A 19687-nucleotide genomic window follows, 5' to 3' on the forward strand; every position below is an offset into this window, starting at 1 on the left:
CTGAAGCTCTCTGATAGTGGTCTTCTATGCAATGCGGGAGTTCAAACTTCATAACTAGCACTCTGGTTCAGTAGCTCTGATGAAATCACTGGGGCTCCTTTAGCAACTGAATTGTTTGCATGTCATAAAATTATGATATGCTTCAAAGGCAAATATTTATTTAGTGAGAAATATAGGTGTGCACAGTAAGGCTTGTGCCTTCCTCATGGCGTATTTCCTTATGAAGTTCATTAGTCTCTGACTCTAGGCAACGTGATATAATGGGAGTGGCACAGACCATAAATGTCACAAGATCTGAGCTCAAGCCATGGTGTAGCTAGTTATCCCCGAGTTGGAAGACTTCAGGCTCAGAAGCCACTTGGTGTGTCAGAGGTCTTTTACCTACAAACCTGAGAGGGACTGGGGGAAGTTTTAGATCAGGTCATTTCTAAGAAGTCTTTTAGCTTTAAAATCTCAAATTAGTATTTCTAAATGCCATTTTACCCACTTTTATATAATTACTTGCCCATTTAACCACACTTAGAAAATTAAGAAAAAATATATCTACTCTTTCATTCTCGAACACAGATAAAATCATTGTTCATGTTCTGGAGTATTAGCTTCCTTTTTTCTGAGCAGATATATCTAAGAATGCCTAAAACAGTGTGTGTACATACATTTCAAAAATTGGAATCACATATTTTTTCATAAATTGATTTTTGTTTCATTTAACATTATCCCATGTCATCTGAGTAGAACTTAGAGTTTTTATCCAAAACTAGATTTCCTTGGTCACTTTTGCAGTTTCTTTGGAATTTTCCATATCGAAGGCAATGTTATGCACTCTCCAAACTAAGCACCCTTGGCTTCTGAATGTGCTGTAAGTACAGTCAGTTGATTCCATTCCAGAGAACAAGCAGTAGAAATATCCCAGAGCACTCTGCCTTCTTGCTGTCACTGCGTGGGTAGAGACTGCCATGGCCAGGGGTCAAGGTGGAGGATGAGGGGTGACCCCTAAAAAATGATATTAGCATGTGACCAAACAGTGTCTCAAATCGTCTCGAAAGCCCACCAATCCATTGTGGAATGACCTCTACAAATAGTTTTGCTTCTGCACAACCAGGTGAGATGGAGCTGACTCTAAGCAAAGAGATAGAGAAGGGAAACTTGGTAACCAAGCCTTTTCTTTCTGTTCTCTGCCTCCCTTCTCCACGCCTCACCTCTTCCTCTCTTTGGCATTTCTCTTCACCCTCTCTAGCCCCCCAGTTATCACTTTCTCCTCCATGGGCCCGTTACATTTTGTTCATGCTGCTGATAGAGTCCTTATCACGTATTACTAATTGGAAGATTTGGGTGGTAGTTGTTGGGGGTGGGGAGAACCAGGGTAGGTTATCATGGCCCTACTCATAAGAAGTTTATGTCTCCTCACTTCTATATGAGTTTCAGAACTGGAAGATAATCTTAGCTGAGGTTAGAAGAACATGTGAAGCTGAAATATTACTGAATATTTAAAAATTATTTTCCACTATTACTTGTTTCCTTGCATGTGGTTTCAATGACATTATGGGTTACATTGGTTTTGGTGGCCTTGCTTAGAATTTCAACATCAGAGAGCCTATATTAAGAAGTCCTACATTTAGTGGGAAGTTTTACTACATCACTAGATGTACTATAAGGTCATCTAGTTTCTGATTCTAAAGTTCTGTGATTTGTAGCACTGTTTCCATGGGAAAGTGCATTCCAAGTTCTAAACAGCTGAGTTTTGGATCTCAGCTCCTTTGAGAGTTGTGGACCAGTCAGACACAAAATTATCTTTAAATATACAGATAGGGGTATGTAATTTGTGTTGTATGTAGAACTAACCACCATTTGAGCCCTTATTATGTGTCAAGGGCTATAATAAGAGCCTTCATACATTCACTTATTCCCCTCTTCACCATGATTGTTTGAGGTAGGCATTATTATTTCCATTTTACAGATGAGGAAGCCAAGGCCCAGCAGAGCTGAGATGTGACTGCAGAGCCGTCCAACCCCAGTCCTGTGACCTTTCTCTGGTGCCTGATACCTCTCAGCATTTGAGGGCCTTTTCTCTTCCTGCTTCATCTCTAAAGGTCCTTCTAGGAGAGAGGTGAAAGGTAATTCTTTTGAAAATACCTATTTTAAAGCAGTATTATTCCCTTCGAGAGACCCATTGATTCCCTTTGATGGAGCCCAATACCATGCTGGATCTTTGCTGTTTCTGAGTGGTGTGAATGGGCAGCTGATGTGGGTGGCCTCAGGAGCCTGTAGAAAGAGGTGCCCCAGGAAAATCTTTTACACAAAAGAACACTACAGCATCTGACTGCAAGATTCAAATAAACACACTCAAAATGGTCTGTAGAGAATAGAGTGGTCAACAATGATGGATAGTAGGTCTCTCTCTTTTTAAAAACAGATTTAATTATAGTATTCACACAAATCTAACTGAAAATATGAGCCAGAATGTTCATTTGTTCACTCACTCATCAGCTGTCAGACTTTGAATGAACGCACATATGTACCAGATTTTGTACTAGGCCCTAGGAGGGTACAAAAGTGGATGAAACATAGTCCCTGCTTCAAGGAGCTCAGAACCTAGTGGGGAGCAGGCCCAGAAACCTTCAGATCCTCTGCTGTGCATTTTTAAAATAGCCCAAATACCAAAACTTTTTTTTTTTTTTTTTCGAAACAGGGTTGTCACTCTGTCTCCCAGGCTAGAGTGGCACAACTATAGCTCACTTCAGCCTTGACCTTCCAGGCTCAAGCAATCCTCCTGCCTCAGCCTCCTGAGTAGCTGGGACTACATTTCCATGCCACCATGCCTGGCTAATTTTTTATTCCAGTATAAAGTTGGGGTTTCGCTATGTGCCCAGTCTGGTTTCAAACTCCTGGGCTCAAGTGATCATCCTGCCTCAGCCTCCCAAACTGTTGGGATTACAGGCACGAGGCAGGCTTGGCCCAAAATGTCTTTTAATGTCAGTTTTGAATGAGCTTTCATAAGAACACTGCATATGTGTGAGGAGAAATCCCTTTCACATGGTGTAGATTTGGTAAGCAATATTTCCAATATCAGAAAGACTTGGTCAGTGTATGTTGATTTGCCAAAACCCACTGGCATATAAGGATGCTGTGGCTGTTGACTTTTCACATTTGCTTAACCAAAGTGCCAGTTTATTGAAGATGAGTTCTGTGTCATGTTTTACTGCCCTGCATGTTAAGATTTGCTTTTCATGACACTAAGACAATGGGAGATTGAATGGGTGGAGTTAAAGAGGCCCCTGTCCTTCTATTGATTCTCCTTGGGTTTCCTGCTGAGTATGGGTTGAGGCTCTGGCCTTCTCAACTGGGTGCCAGATGAATGTACCGGGAATCCTGTTAGGGTGACATCTAAGAAGAAGACTCATAAAGCACAATATTGGGAACTCAATCAGAGCTTGTTTCAGGAGGATCAGGGCTGAGCTTAGTGGGGGTTCTTGGTGATAGGGATTCCTTCCTGAAACACATTTGTCTTCCTGGAAAAGGAGGAAGGTGTAAGAACGAGAACCACTGATGTATGCAGGAGGTCCGTAGCCTCAGTTGCCATAGATACTGAAGGCTCTGCATGGCCTGGCCAAGGATGGACAATGTTACAAGGTGGACCCACAAACCACAGTGATCTTCATCCTCAAGCTGGGGCATGCTGGGCCTCATTTTTGGAAAGTACATTTTCCACGAGATGTGCTAACACAATGGGGTTCTATGTATAATCTGCCTTGAACAAATAGGTTTCATGGGAGGCCACGAAAAAACAACTTCATCAAGTCTCCCACTCTCCCATTAAAATTTATTCAGTGGAAAGCATTTCCCCTGTTTTTTGGATGAAAACATATCACGTGGCTATTCTGATTCCTCATATATAATAAAAAGCCCCACTTTAATTTGCCAGATATTTAAAATGTCTAGTATCATGGGATAGTTAAAGCTTCCAGCTTCATTCATATTTATAACTGCTCCCCTTCCCCTGGCTAGGGCCTGTTGCAGGGAGAGGGGGCTGTGGTTGGAGGCTTTTTCTCTTGCTTACTCAGTAGCTATGACTTCTGGACTGGGGTGAGGGGCTGGGTGGGGAACAGGAAGGAGTGTAGGAAAGCTTTTACTAGGCAGGCGGTATCATAGGAGAGCTCTTTTTGTGTTGTGGGTGTTTAGAGTTGATTCTTTCTCTTGTGGGGCCCTTTTGTGGGTTCTTTGGAGATACCCTCTCACCTTGTCTCTGGGGGCCTCTCACCTCCAATTTCCTTGGTGGGGCTGCTGCACTCTCTTCAGCCTAATTGCAGACTGTTTCCACAGTCTCTAGAAAGCCCACCAATCCATTCGTACTCCTGTCTGCTGGGTTCTATTGCTGTCCAGGTGGCCCTTGTTGGGAAGACCCTAATATATAGCCCTGTACATATGCTCATGGTGTGGTCCATGGGAAACACTCACACTTCCTTTGTTCCCACCAACTGGGAGAGGGCAGGCTGCTCCCAGGGCAACTGTCGTTTCCTTTGGCTTGTCCGTCAGCATCCAGCCAGCTCTCCAGTTCTTCAGATTTCTTAGGCAGAAGTCCCAAACAAGGTCACAGTGCCTTCCACATCGTAAGAGCCTCATGCTCTCCAGGTAGTCCTGTTGAGCCCCCTCATGAGGCTGGAAGGGGGAGAAGCAGGGAGGGGCAGGTACTCTTATCTCTTCCTAAGCTTAGTCCTTTAGGCTAGGACCAGACTGGACTGCAGCCTGCTTGCTTCAATCATTCTCTCCTTTTAGCCACCAACAAGCAGTCTGACCTACTTGTAGCCACACCGTAGGTAAGAGGTTTAAGACCAGTGAAAAAGGTTTTGGGCTATGTTCTTTGAAAAACTGCATCTAGGCCTGGCACTTCACTTTGGAACCTGGTATCTCATCCATCTTAGCGGCTTGTTTGACACATCCCATTTTGACATTCTGTAATACTTTCTTGGGAAGCAGGGCTTATCCTTAGCTCTTGGAGATGCACATGACACACAGCATAGAAAAGGCTCCTGGGAGTAGACAGGAATGTCCACTTCACTCCAGCCTCTTCCTCTCCTGCCCTCCATCCTGCTCCAAGGGCCTGTGCTCCACCTGAATCTTCCATCCAGGAAGCTCCCTCTCTGCTGCCTGCTCCCACTCTGTGTTGCCAGCTCCTTCTGTTCCTTTAGGATTCCTTAATGTTCCTTCCTTAGTAAAGACTTCTTTGTTCAAACCCCACCTAAGTAGATCTCCCCTAATTTTCTGTTTTCTGTTACCGCAATTCCCTTTATTTCCCTCACAGTACATCTTATATTATAAATGATAACGTTTCCAAATAAATTATACAAGCTATTTAGTGTCTTACTCTCACATCAAATGGTAAGCCCCATAAAGGAAAATTCATGTCTGTTTTATTCGGAAACTAACCAGTGCTCACTAAATATATGTTGAATAAATGAATGAAAGCATGAATTAAAAAGTTACTTTTGTTTAAGCTGTTCTTTCCCCACATGTCTCTCTTCTTTTGTGTTAACTCTTTTTTTTTTTTTTTTTTTTGAGACATAGTCTTGCTCTGTCACCCAGGCTGGAGTGCAGTGGTGCGATCTCGGCTCACTGCAACCTCCACCTCCCGGGTTCATGCTACTCTTGTGCCTCAGCCTCCCGAGTAGCTAGGACTACAGGCATGCATCACCATGCCTGGCTAATTTTTGTATTTTTAGTAGAGACTGGGTTTTGCTATGTTGGCCAGGCTGGTCTTGAACTTCTGGCCTCAAGTGGTCCACCCACCTCAGCCTCCCAAAGTGTGTTCACTCTTAACAAACAGATTCTTAGTTATATGGCATGCACAGAGTTTTGGAAGTACTGAGACAAGGCTTAATTTTTGGTATATTTTTCTGTTCATCATCATCTCCCCTCACCCTTTCTCTCCTCTCTCTGTCTCACTTTCTCTTTCCCTCTGGCTCTGTCTTTTTCTCTCACTCTCTTCTAACAAGAACTTAGTTTGAGGCAAGTGGAGCAGAGGTGCCACCCCATGTTACAGATACCCACACCAAGGAGAGTTAGCTGTGAGATAACCTAAGGGGTTGATGGCAGGCATGGCCCAGAGCTCAGCACTTCCATGTCTCTTCTGGTCTTGTCCTCTCTGTGCCTCTCCTGCAGTCCTTTGTGTCCAGCTGTCATCTGGCCTTGCAGCAAGGCCTGGCTTACCACTTCCAGAACCTGCCGAGGTAGCAGCAGCCTGGCCTCGGGCTGGAGTGGAAAGACTAGTTCCCAGCCCAGAATCTATCTTGCATGGTACACAGCAAGAGAAATTCTCTTCAAGATGCAGCCCCATGAAAGCAGCATGTTTACAGGTAGTAGATCCCCAAAGTTGTCATAGCCTCCCCTAACCCCCTCACACCAGACCTGTCCCTGCCCTTGGCCCACACAGTTGGGGATTCATGGGCTATGGGAATGTCTTTCTCCTTAGGAATAGAAGCTGGATTCTGAAGGAAGGCGCTGGACTTGAACTAGGCTTGGCGATCGCCTTCCCTCTCATTCTTTCCCTGCCTACTCCATAGACAGTCCTAACTCTGGCCACAAGTCAGAGAATTTCACATTCCTCCCTTAACAAGTTTTACTCCGTATAAGGCCCTGGGGGCAGTCTAGATTTCCTGGGCAACAACTTGGGTGTACTTGCTTCAGGAGGAGGAGGAGGCTTATCTCGTATGTGCACATTCTTCTGGTGTGTCCTATCTGGTTATTATCAAATCGAAACTGCAGCAGTTGAAGTTTGTTGCTTAATTACTGTCTGTTGATTGTAAAATAATAGACCACCAATTTTGTTGGTTAGTTATTACTGCCACGTCGTTATAAAGTGCGCGCTGTAACATGGCAGTGTTTTCCTTTATGCTGTCTTTTTGATGAGTATCATTATTTACACTAATAATAATGGCTTGCATTTGAAATATGCTTCAGAGTTAACACAGCACTTCCATTTTATTATCTCATCTGGCTCTGTTATAAGGAAATGCAAGCAGGCAACTAATTTTAGGAGAGTTGGAGGTAAAATTTTTATTCTAGAAATTACTATAAATTTTGGCATAATATAGCTTCTTTTTACAGCAAGTACTTATTACTTTAGTTAAAAAATCAGAAGCGAATTTTAAAATTGTAGATTTGCTGTTTTTTTTACACCTTCTTGTCATAATCCAAAAAGTAGAGTACTAGAAGACATATTCAGTCCAGGGTCATATAAAATCATAATATCTTAGCTAGAAGCCACTCCTCTAGAATTTGATCCACAGTATGGTTTAACACTACATTGTAAGGAAATGGATTGTCTACCCCAGAGTTTGCTTAGCATAGAGGCTTCATTTATGTATTTATTTAGGTAAAACTTATAGAACATAAAATTAACCATTTTATTATGAAAAATGGAGGTGAACACTACCTCTATCTAGTTCCAAGATATTTTCACCATTCCAAAATAAAACCCCATCCTCACTAAGCAGTCACTCCCCATTCCCTACTCCCTGTAGCCCGAGGTAACCCCTAATCTGCTTTCTGTTTCTGTGGATTTAACTGTTCTGGGTAGTTCACATAAAAGGAATCGTACAATCTGTGTCATTTTGTGCCTGGCTGCTTTCACTTAGCGTAATGTGTTAAGGTTCATCCACGTTGTGACTTGAGTCAGTGCTTCATTCCTTTTTACAGCTGAATGCCCAATATTTTTAATATCAAAACATTTCTGGGATTATGGAAACTCCAGCCCCACAGACACACAGTCCCACCATATCCTTCTCTCCACTGGGAATGACTTCTCACAAATGTGGGATTTTAGTCCATAATAAAGTACAAATGCTAAAGAAGCATGTGTAGTTATAGCTGTAATTTGCTGCATTTTACTTTAGACTCAGGAAGAAGGCTCTAGATAGTTCTATGCAAAGATTACAGGTGATTGTATTCTTCAGACACTCATATCATGAAAGTTTGTGCCATCATAATTTTTACAGACAGTGCTTAGAATACGCCTGGATTTGTAGTTTTCTTGCAGTAGGCACCACTCGGCGGCTGAGTTTCAGATTTCTTTTCTTTTTTTTTTTTTTTTTTTTTGTTTGAGACAGAGTTTCACTCTTGTTGCCCAGGCTGGACTGCAATGGCACCATCTTGGCTCACTGCAACCTCCGCCTCCCAGGTTCAAGCGATTCTCCTGCCCCAGCCTCCTGAGTAGTGGGATTACAGGCATGTGCCACCACGCCCTGCTATTTTTAGTAGAGACGGGGTTTCACCATGTTGGTCAGGCTGGTCTCGAACTCCCGACCTCAGGTGATCCGCCCACCTCTGCCTCCCAAAGGGCTGAGATTACAGGCGTGACCCACCGCACTCGGCCAGGTTTCAGATCTTTTCTCCAGCCTCTGTAGGTGACAATGTATAAAGAAAAAAGAATGAGCTTCTGAGGTGGACAGAGCTGGGTTCAAATCCCGCCTCTACCCCTTGTTAGCCATTTGTCCTTGGGCACATGACTTGAAGTTCCCTCATGGTAAAATGAGAATAATAATATCTACTCATGGTCCCCCAAAGATATCCACATCCTAATTCTTAGAACTTGTAAATATTACCTTATTTTGAAAAACAGTCTCTGTAGATGTGGTTGAATTAAGAATTTTGAGGGGATTACCCTGTATCATTCAGGTGGGCCCTAAATATTTTACAAGCATCCTAATGAGAAAGAGGCAGAGGGGAACAGAGAGGGACATGCAGGGGAAGGTGATGTGAAGACATAGGCAGGGAGTGAAGTGATGTGGCTACCAGTCAAGGAGTGCCAATTCTGGCAGCCACCAGGAACTGGAAGGGGCGAGGGACAGAGTCCCCCTGTAGCCTCCAGAGAGAGCATGACCCTGCCAGCACCTCAGTTTCAGCCCAGTGACATTGGTTTTGGACTTCTCGCCTCCAGAACTGGGAGAGAATAAATTTTCGTAGTTTTAAGCCACCAAATTTAGTGTAATTTGTTACAGCAGCCTCAGGAAGTGAATGCACTTCTCTTATAAGGTAACATGACCACCTGTAACCACATGTTACAGTTTGTTTTCCTCCTAAAAAGGACAGAAGTCCTTCTATCAAAGGTGTTTCTCAAGCTTTAAGTACAGAGGTTAAGAGTTTGAGAGCAGGGCTTCTCAACCTCGGCACTAATGACACTTAGGGGCCAGAACATTCTTTGTTGTGGGGCGGTCCTCTGCCCTGAGGATGTTCAGCGGCATTCCTATCCACTAGATGCCAGTAGTTCCTTCCCCCTAGTTACAACAACCACAAATGTCTCCAAACATTGCCACATGTCAACTGGGGGACAAAACTACACCCTGTTGAGAAACACCAAGGTAGAGTACAAATTAAGTACAGCTTAATCCCAGCTCCATCACTAAGTAGCTGTGTGGCCATGGGCAAGTTAGGCACCCTCTCTGAGCCCCAGTTTCATTATCTATAAAATAATAACAGTCCCTACATCACAGGGTTGTTGTAAGGATATTCAAATGATGTAATATGTGTAAAGGCTTCAGAACAGTGCCTGGCAAATTGCAAAGTATTTAATGCAGGAAAATGGTTATTAACCCATGCTCTGCCATGCTACTTTGTCACACTGTTTTCCATAGTTTCTGTTATAGAACTAATGGCCATTGAAAACATTTTCCAAACAGTAACTTCTGTTGTAAAGATGCACATGTTTTAATATTAAACATCCTTCCTTCATTGCCCTCCCCTCTCACCTTTCAGCTCCCCAGGATTTGTATGCGTAGATTGCCTGTCAGTTATGCTAACTCACTGAACTCTTTATATAATTCCCTGGATAAGCTGTAACAACAAGCAAAACCCTTCCATCTGTCAGTGATAGTTCTATTATTCCATAATTACAGCTTTCTCGTCGGTGACGTAGCTGTTGCATTCACTTATGAATGTGTCAGTGTCTCCATTCAAATGTGTGAAATATTTAGCAGCGTTTAGCAGGTTTTGGTGAAATGTTAGAAAGTGATTTGAATAGATACCATCATATACTTTTGTAAGGAAGAGGAACGTGCTCCAACTGTGACCCAGGTCACTGTATCTCTAAACACTGGAGACACAGCAGTGAATAAAATGAAGATCCCTGTTCTCAATGAGTTTGCATTCTAGCACACTAGAATACTTATATGCACAATAAATTAGTAAATGGTATCGTGTTTAGGTAGTGATAAGACTATGGGAAACCAGCAGTTTAGGGAAGGGGGTTGGGAGTGCTGAAGGTGGCACAAGGGGGCAGGTTGTGATATTAGAGGGGACAGTTTTTAATCCTTTCATGGGGATAATGAAAATATCTTTGACATGGATTGAAAACCAGTGTTTGTTGATGCACCTCTGCTGATGACTAATGGTTGGAATTCCTAAGTCTTTCAAAGGTGGTGAACCTTTTGCTCCTTCCCCACAGACTGCCTGGGAGTGCCTTTCAAAGTTAAGCCATGTGGCTTTGGTTTATCCCAGCTGCTGTGGGAATTCTTTATAGAAACGGTTCAGGGATCATTATTGGCAATGCGGTCTCAGGGAAGAAGTATGCCTGGTAGTTATTGTAAAGTGGATGACTTTGGGCAAGTCGTGTAACCTCTAAGCCTCAGTATTGTTATAACGGTTGTAAGGTTCAAATGAAATAATGTATAGAAAGCACGTAGACCTGTGTCAAGAGCATAATAAATTCTTAGAAAATGTTGGTAGTTGTAATTTTATGATTAGCTTTAAAGCATATTTCTAAGGTACTATGTAAATATTCATGGCACTTGTCATTTCTTTCTAAAGCATACCTATAATTATCAGCTTTTCATAGGCAAACATTTCTTGCATAAACCTTGCCTGCCAAAGAAGGGTCTGCATAGAGAACCTATGAATTGATCTCTTGTGAGCTTAGGCTTGGACACTCTTTGAATACTGTGTGCCAACTTTCACAAAGATTGAGATGAGAGAATAGAGGCAGGGAGTAATTCAGGTAATAAAAGTCCAGCTACTAAAAATGCAGTTTTGTGATTAGTTCTCATGGATGACTCCAGAGATTGACTTTTCTGGGTAATTATATGGCCCTTCATTTTGTTGGTAGGGATTTACATAGACATTTGTTAAATGATTTTAGAATAGAATGAGTTGCCTAGTTATGCTGAGTGAATTGAGAAATTCCTCAAAGAGTCATGGGCTTCATTGGGAAATGGTCAAGATCAAGGATGGAGCACATCTGGAATTCATTGCTGCACTGCAAAGAAAGTTTGGGAACTGGTAGAAGTGGTAGTTACACAACATTGTGAACATACTAAATGTTTACTTTAAAGTGTTTAGTTTTATGTTATATGAATTCAGATAATAATTTTCTTAAAAATGGATTTCTGACAGTGCTAGACCTCAAGCTCAGATTCCCTATTTTCATATCTAATTATTTAAAAGAATTGTTAAAGAATATGATAGTCCTTAACATTTTATATATATGGAATAAATTTTCTTTAATTTTATAAATGTATTAAAGGTTTTATATTTCAGTATATCCAACATGCTTGTTTTCTCGTTTATAAAATTCAGTTATTCCAACTCTAAAATTTTATGGTAATAAATTGATTACACAAGTAGAGGCCAAAGCTGTATCCCCACAGTGTCTATTATGGTATCTTGCCCATAGTAGGTGCCCAATAAATGTTCACTGAATTGTATGTAGGTTGTTTTCTGAGTTGCTCATAACTTTATAATGTCATACATTAATGCAAGTGGGGTTAAACTAGACAGTGTTAGAGATCTTCAAGTTCAGCTTGCTCTAAGATGAGCAACAAGGCCGAGAAGTTAGGTCACTTACATAGTTAGTGCAAGGGTAGGATATTGCTTTTTAAGTTAACATTTGTAGAAACATGCATAAGTAATTCATTCAGCCATAGCCATTGGAATATGGTTTGGTTTCCTTTTTATTCTTTCTTTTTTTTTCTTCCTTTCTTTTTCTTTCTTTCCCTCCCTTGCTGTCTGCCTTGCTCCTTCTCTTCCTTCTTTCTTTTCCTTTCTCTTTTTTTAGATTTACAAACCTGATAATGCAGAAAAATCATGTTTCTAGGGGACTGCAAAGCCCATATTTCATCTCATCTTTTGCCAGGAGTTACCAATGTATCCTTTAGTCAGTCTTCTCTGGATTTTTCTTACCTCACCTATTAGATGAGAAGGGTAGTGCTTATTTTCAATGGAATGCTCTGCTTTTGAGGTTAATTTACAAAAACTCTTTATTGGTTAAAATTTTAACTCTCTTTCTGCCATATGGTGCAGATATTTCCTTCAATTTGCTTGCCTTTCAGTTTTGTGAAACAAAGATTTAATCTCTGAGATTAGTTGTTAGATCTAATATTTTTCTCTACGATTTTGGCTGTTGGCATGCTAAGATAGGTCTTTTCCATCCTACCATTACATAAATTGTACCTTAATTTTCTTCTAGTACTTTTGTGGTTCCATTTTTTACATTTAAATCTTATTGCATCTGATATTTATTTTTGTATAAGGTGAGAGGTAGGGATCTAACTTCATATTTTCCAAAATGAATAGCCAGTTAACCAAACTGATTTAAGAATCCATCTTTTTGTTACATTAATTTGAAATGCCGTAATGAATACTGAATTCTAGGCTTTTTTTTTTTTAACATTTTAAAGAACAGAATAGGTAAGAACAGAATAGGTTTAAATTCCTATAGCTTTATGACACATTTTGATAACACATTTTGATATCTAGTTGTGCAAGCCCTATCTGAATGGTTAAATATGGTTTATTTCCCCCCACATTTTCTTGATTTTTTTTTTTTTTTGAGACTGAGTCTTACTCTGTCACTTAGGCTGGAGTGCAGTGGCATGATCTCGGCTCACTGCAACCTCCACCTCCCAGGTTTAAGCAATTCTCCTGCCGCAGCCTCCCTAGTAGCTGGGACTACAGGCGTGTGCCACCATGCCCGGCTAATTTTGTTTCTTTTTTTTTTTTTTTTTTTTTTTTTTTGAGATGGAGTCTCACACCGTCACCGAGGCTGGAGTGCAGTGGCGTGATCTCAGCTCACTGCAAGCTCCACCTCCTGGGTTCACGCCATTCTCCTGCCTCAGCCTCCTGAGTAGCTGGGACTCCAGGCGCCAGCCACCACGCCTTGCTAATTTTTTATATTTTTAGTAGAGACGGGGTTTCACCATGTTAGCCAGGATGGTCTTGATCTCCTGACCTTGTGATCTGCCCGCCTCGGCCTCGCAAAGTGCTGGGATTACAGGCGTGAGCCACCGCACACAGCCTAATTTTTGTATTTTTAGTAGAGATGGGGTTTCGCCATGTTGTCCAGGCCAGTCTTGAACTCCTGACCTCAGGTGATCCACCCGCCTTGGCCTCCCAAAGTGCTGGGATTACAGGCGTGAGCTACCATGCCCGGCCCTTCTTGAATATTCTTCATGATTGTTCTTCTATAAGAACATTAGAGTAATTTTGTCAAGTTCTAAACAAAACTGCTAGTGGGATATTAATTGTAACTCCATTGCATTTCTGCGTTTATTTAAGGGAACATTGTCATCTTTACAGTTAAGCTTTAACATTCAGCAGGATGGTGAATCATTTTATTAATTTAAGTCTTCTTTTATGTTCCATGATTTCTTTTTTTTTTTTGAGACAGAGTCTCGCTCTGTCGCCCAGGCTGGAGTACAGTGGCGCGATCTTGGCTCACTGCAAGCTCCACCCCCCGGGTTCACGCCATTCTCCTGCCTCAGCCTCCCAAGTAGCTGGGACTACAGGCGCCCGCCACCATGCCTGACTGATTTTTTGTATTTTTAGTAGAGACGGGGTTTCACCGTGTTAGCCAGGATGGTCTCAATCTCCCGACCTCGTGATTCACCCGCCTCAGCCTCCCAAAGTGCTGGGATTACAGGCGTGAGCCACCACGCCCGGCCGGTTCCATGATTTTTTAATGTTAGTTCTGTACACCTATCTTTTGAATGTATTCTATTTGTTTATACTCTTTCTTTCTTTTATGAATGTGAATTTTTACCCCATTTTATTTTTTACCTGGCTCTTTCTAGAAATTAGGGAAGCTATTGATTTTTGTATATTGGCTCTGATTTTATTTTCAGGTGATTCTACTGAATTTTGTCAGTGGAGTTTCATAACATTTCCAAATAATAATTTTATCTTCCAGTTTACATTATTTATAATTTTTACTGCTTTGGCTAATACTTCTAGAAAGATATTAAAATAACAGAGGTTATATGAGGCATCTTTTTTTCTGATTTTAAAGAGAATGTCACTAGAGTTTCACTATCATAAATGATTTGTGATTCTTGTCCTACAGTACTCTGGCAGTGCTAGTCTCTTTTTTTTAAATAACATGTTATCTATATGTGATCTTCTTGACATGTAGCAGTTGAACTCTGTGAAAATGGCAACTATATTTACCTGGAACTCTATGTCTAAACAGTGACCAATTGATCAATAAATAAATACATTTTATTGTGTTGCTCTTTCTGCCTTGCTGAACTTTGAAAGATCTGTAAGAATTTGAAGTGCATCATAATTGTTAGGAAAGTAGATCAAACATTTATGTAATGTAAAGCCTTTATTTTTCATGCAGCATTGTCAAGACCTTAGATGTACAGTGTAACTGAATGGTTGAAGTTTACACTCATACTTCAAAAAAGAAATGTTTTCCTTTTGTTGTTTGCTGACTTTGGAGACTGCTTTCCCAAAGAATCCACTTTCGTTTTTACTACTGATCTGTGTTTTTGGATAGCACCATGGCACCTTGAAAGCACATTTATGAGTATACCTCTGCTTACTGATATCACAAGAAGTTTGCAAATATCACAAATATATTAGGTGCTAATGTCAGAGGAAGATACTAATTCAAAATGTATTCATGTACTTTCATAGATATAGACCCTTTTTGTTTCTTACTGCTCCCTCATACAAAGAATAAGTTGCTCTGTATAAGTAACACAAGATTTTTCCTCCTTAAAATGTGGAAAATATTGAAAAATAGAGGGAATATAAGCCTGTTACTAGGGATAACCACTGTTGATATTTACAGTTGTTTTGTGTCTGAGTAATTGCTATCACACTACATACTGGTTTGTATACTGTCCTTTTATCTAAACATTACAATCACATGTGTTTTTCCTAGATGGTGGAACATTTAAATAAGACAACTAAAGTTATTTAGGCTAGTTGGGCTGTGGGAATCTGAAGTAAGAGGTGGTCTGTGCAACCTTAGAAATGGGTGGAGCCGGAGGATGAATCGCAGGATGAACTCAGCATGGTTCACCCACAGTCTTCAAATAGTCATTGATCCAGGTGTCCTCAGAGAGCCTGAAAAACAATGCTTAGATCATCCTGCCTGACCTCTAGGAAGCTTAAGGTCACCTGAACAAAATAATCCTTTTCTTTCAGCAACTGGGTGGCCTCTGAAAGCTGGCCCTACTTTGCCATCTTTGATCAGTCGTCTGGCACTGATTACAGACTATTAACAGTGTAGACTCATTCCTGTTGTGCACAAAGAATCGTGTGGAGAAGGAGGCTGCATAAATTGTCTTACTCCTAAGACCAAATTCCAGGGACTTTTTTAGGGCCTTTGGCCATGTGTTATTTTATGTAAATATTTTTTAAGACCTCCCTGTTTGACAGGTCAGCATGTCTCCTTCTATTGTATAATATTAATTCTAGAAACTTATAGCAGATCCATTTCCATTTCCAAAGCCGAAAAAGGAAGAGCTTGAATTAGAATTTAATGTGAAGAGTTTGTAAATTGCTTATATTCTTATTTTGTCAGCTTGACACATTTGTGGAAAAAATAGATGTCTAAAAATGTCTAGTAGCTGCTATGCAGTCTGCAGTCTGTGTATTCATTCTTCATTTACAGTTTTTGTTTTACAAGGTCATCTGTAAATTAACAGCCTACCAACAAACAAAGATAGTATTGCAGAGAGTAATTTTGAACATCTTTTTGTCCTAATCATTTTTGCATTTCAATTAATTGAAAATAAAGAGAATTAGAAAAGAATTTTCTTTTATCTTTCACCTTGTTTGAGGATTCTGATAATGTGTACATGTTATTCTTCTCTCTATATGTTTTCTCTATCATTTCTTCTTTGCACCAAACAAATATCTTATATTTTTGCCTATATTTCCATTTTCTGGAATTTCAGCTTAAAATACTTGTATGCATCTCAATCTTTAGAAGAGATTTAGAACAGCATTGTCTGATACAAATATAATGAGAGGCACATATGTAATTTTATATTTCATAGTATGCACATTTAAAAAGAGAAACAAGTAAAACTAATCTTAATGATATATTTTATGTAGCCTAATATATCAAGAATATAGTTTCGACATGTAATCAACTATGAAGAATTATTAATATATTTTCTATTTTTTATTCAGACTAAATCTGCCAAATCCAGTGTATATTTTATACTTATAGCACATATTAGTTTAGACACGCAGGTTTCATTAGAAATACTTAATCTGCATTTAGATTTCATAACTTTCATAATTGAAAAAGTAGACTGACATTCCCAAGTTGTTCCAACATACTTAGCAGTTTCCCAAGAACAGAAACAAGCATCAATTTTTTAAAAACTTTAATTACCATTATATAAAATTTAAAGTTCACCCTGTCAGTTACAGGCTTATCAAATACTAAGTGGCTGCATGTGGCTAGTAGCTAGTGGCTATAGTATTTGGCAGCACATTTCTAGAATTTTAATTTTCTATTTTAAAAGACAAGATTAAAATTTCAGTAAAAAATTACATTTGTGACATGGAAGGTGGCTTAAAAGAAAGAGGTTGGCATTACTGGCCAAGGTAGCAAAACTCAGATAGGAGAAACTTCAGAGACCTAGTTTCATTAAACTTAGCTCTGGTTTATCGTGACTGAAGAGAACTAGGGGGCTTCATTATGTTAAAAAAAAGAAAAGGCCTTGAAAAATGTGAGTTCCTACCTCTTTCTCTCTGAAAGAGTCGGTAGTGGAGGATGCTTGTTTTAGACCTTTGGTTATACTCCTGCTCTCTCTCGTAAATTCTTTAATATGACTTTCTAAGAATGCTCTGACCATGTGTGGATACTAAGCCCTTTAAAGAGTGGCTGAAATATGTGATTTTAAAATTATTTTTAATTTAAAAACTGATACTCATTTAGTTATTAGAAAACATTTATGTATGTTTGGAGCAACTGGGTATATAAGTCTACTTTTTCAACTGCAAATTTTATGAAATCTAAATAAAGTCAGAAGATTCCAGTTCCAGATAAGATGAAGTAAACACAGTTTACTCTGACTCTGCCACCGAGTGCAGCTATAAAACCTGGATAGAATGCATGAAGCAGCTATTTGAGGACCCTGAAAAGTAAATAGTGGCAGGACGATGAGGGGAAATGACCAGAATTGGAAGCTCCACCAAATTGACAAAAGAGAGGTAAATCTGGTTCCTGTTACTTCACTATGGCTAGAAGTGGAAGTCTCTACAAAGGCTTTGAAAACTAAACTGATGTTGGAAACGTAACCCACGGAAAGAGGTTTAGAACTTGAAGCCTGAAGCTATTCACGACAATTGCCTGCTAAGACAAAAATAGCAACATTCTCAGTAGGATTGAAACAAAACTCAGAATCTTGTAATAGAGTGTTCCAAATGTCTAGGATACAACCGAGAATTACTTGGCATATGAAGAACCAGGAAAATTATCCATTTTTATGAGGAAAGACAATTGACAGAGGCCAATACTGAAATGGTAAAGATGTTGGAATTATCTGACAGACTTTTAAAGCAGCTCTTACAAAAATGCTCAACAAGTAAAAACAATCACTTCTGAAACAAAAAGAAATTCTCAGCAAATGAATACATGATATAAAGAAGAACCAAATTAAAATTTTAGAATTCAAAAATGCAGTAACCACAATTCTTAAAACTCACTAAGTAGGCTCAATAACTGAACAGAGGTGAAAGAGAGGAAAGTCAGTGAATTTGCAGATAGCTCAACAGAAATTGTACAATACGAACAACAACGAGAAAAAGGATTGCAGGGAGAGGGGAAGCAGAGCCTCATGGACCTGTGGAATAATAATAAAAGATCTAATGTTCATGGCATCAGAACCCCAGGAAAAGAGAGGAAAAAAAGTATGGCACTGGAATAAGATTTGAATAAATAATAACTGAAAAATCCCAAGATTTGGCATAAAGCTACAGATTCAAGAAGCTCATAAAACCCCAGACATGAACCCAAGTAAATCTCACTGAAACACATCATCATCAAACTGCTGAAAACCCAAGACAAGAAAAAATCTCGAAAACAGAGGAAAAGAATGCATTACCTGTAGAGAAACAATGATTTGAATGACTGTGTATTTCTCATCATGGAGAAAGTGATATAACATTTTAAAACTACTAAGAGAAAATAATTGTCAACTCAGAGTTCTATATTCAGCAAAAATATCCTTAAGGAACTTTCAGACATTCTCAGCTGAAGGGAAACTTAAGAGAATTCATTGCCAGTAGTAGACCTTGTATAAGACAATTGCTAAAGGATGTTCTTCAGACAGAAGGGAAATGATGCCAGAAAAGAATTTAGAACATCTGGAATGAAGGCAGAAAAATAGAAATGGTGAATATCTGGTAAATACACTAGACTAATCTTCTCCTCTTTAGTTCTCTAAAATATGCATAATGGTTGAAAGAAAACAAATGTTGTCTGATGAGGTTTTCAATGAATGCAGATGTAATATATGACAACTATAGCATAAAGCAGGGAGTAAGGGGACTCATGGCGTGTTAAGATTTTTACATTCCAGTTGAAGTGGTAAGATACTCTTAAGTAGACTGTTAAAAATTGAGTACAGCATGTGTATTGTGATCTCTAGGGCAACCATTTAGAAAACTAAAACATGTCAAGAAAACATAATAAAGTGGAATACTAAAAAATATACAAGTAACCCAAAAGAAGGCAGGAAAGGGGAAACCGAGGAATGAAAAACGGAAGAAACAAACAGAAAACAAGTAATAAAATGGCATCCCTAAATCCAACCATATCAAAAAGTACATTAGATATAAATGTTCTAAACACACCAATTAAAAAACAGATTGTCAGAATGGATAAATACAATCAATATTTTCAAAGAAAATTTAACACCTGAAATGAGATGTGCAGTAAGTATAAACTGCAATCCAAATATTGAAAACTTAATAGAAAAAAATGTGGAATCTCATTACTTTTTATATTGATTTCATGCTGAAATGTTTTTTGTGTACTGAGTTTTAAAATATATTATTAAAATTTCACCTATTACATTGTATATTTAAAAACATGACTACCAGAAAAATTTAAATTACCTGTATGGCTTACATTAAAATTTCCATCAGACAGCAATCTTCTAAGGTATGGCTTTTGTAAAAAATGAAAAGAAATATTTCAAGCAGCAAACAGGGTTGGTCAGAAGCTACATTTTTGTATTATCTTAGTTAAGACATTAGGAGATCTGGATTACCCTTTATTAAGGCTAACAAATGTAGGGCTAAATGTATTAAATTTAGTAATACAATATAAAACAATTTTGGTGTGCACAACATCTGTGGCTAGCTACAAGCTCAGCTCTGTGGCACAGTTCATGTAACTCAGCCATGAGCACAGCTCTCTTTTGGAATGGGTCATCCATCCATTGCTTTACCT

General features: G+C 39.4%; 1 protein-coding gene across 14 annotated transcripts in view, besides 2 other annotated features; it reads left to right on the plus strand.

Annotated features, from left to right (window-relative positions):
* PIP5K1B (phosphatidylinositol-4-phosphate 5-kinase type 1 beta) overlaps positions 1-19687 on the plus strand; it is a 303937-nt gene that overhangs the window by 35304 nt on the left and 248946 nt on the right. For 8 of the 14 annotated variants that reach the window (XM_017015189.2, XM_047423951.1, NM_003558.4 and 5 more), the window contains one exon: positions 1958-2114. The exons of 4 other annotated variants lie outside the window; for them this stretch is intronic. The gene's annotated coding sequence lies outside the window, so the exon portion shown is untranslated. Of the gene's footprint in view, positions 1-1721; positions 1812-1957; positions 2115-19687 lie in introns of those variants that run through there. 2 more of the 14 variants (XM_011519084.4, XM_005252262.6) reach the window with 1 other exon arrangement.
* Positions 3486-3680: a silencer, noted in NCBI's record as "fragment chr9:71358945-71359139 (GRCh37/hg19 assembly coordinates)". NCBI's record gives its function as "represses an EF-1alpha promoter that drives an FKBP-Casp9 reporter gene in an ReSE screen in phorbol 12-myristate 13-acetate-treated (for megakaryocytic differentiation) K562 erythroleukemia cells {active_cell/tissue: K562(+PMA)}" and the evidence as "EXISTENCE:reporter gene assay evidence [ECO:0000049][PMID:32094911]".
* Positions 15126-15676: an enhancer, noted in NCBI's record as "OCT4-NANOG hESC enhancer chr9:71370585-71371135 (GRCh37/hg19 assembly coordinates)". NCBI's record gives its function as "activates a minimal SCP1, AML or CMV promoter by ChIP-STARR-seq in primed H9 embryonic stem cells {active_cell/tissue: H9 hESC(primed)}" and the evidence as "EXISTENCE:reporter gene assay evidence [ECO:0000049][PMID:30033119]".

This window comes from Homo sapiens, chromosome 9 (genome assembly GCF_000001405.40).
Source record: "Homo sapiens chromosome 9, GRCh38.p14 Primary Assembly".
Classification (NCBI taxonomy): Eukaryota; Metazoa; Chordata; class Mammalia; order Primates; family Hominidae; genus Homo; species Homo sapiens.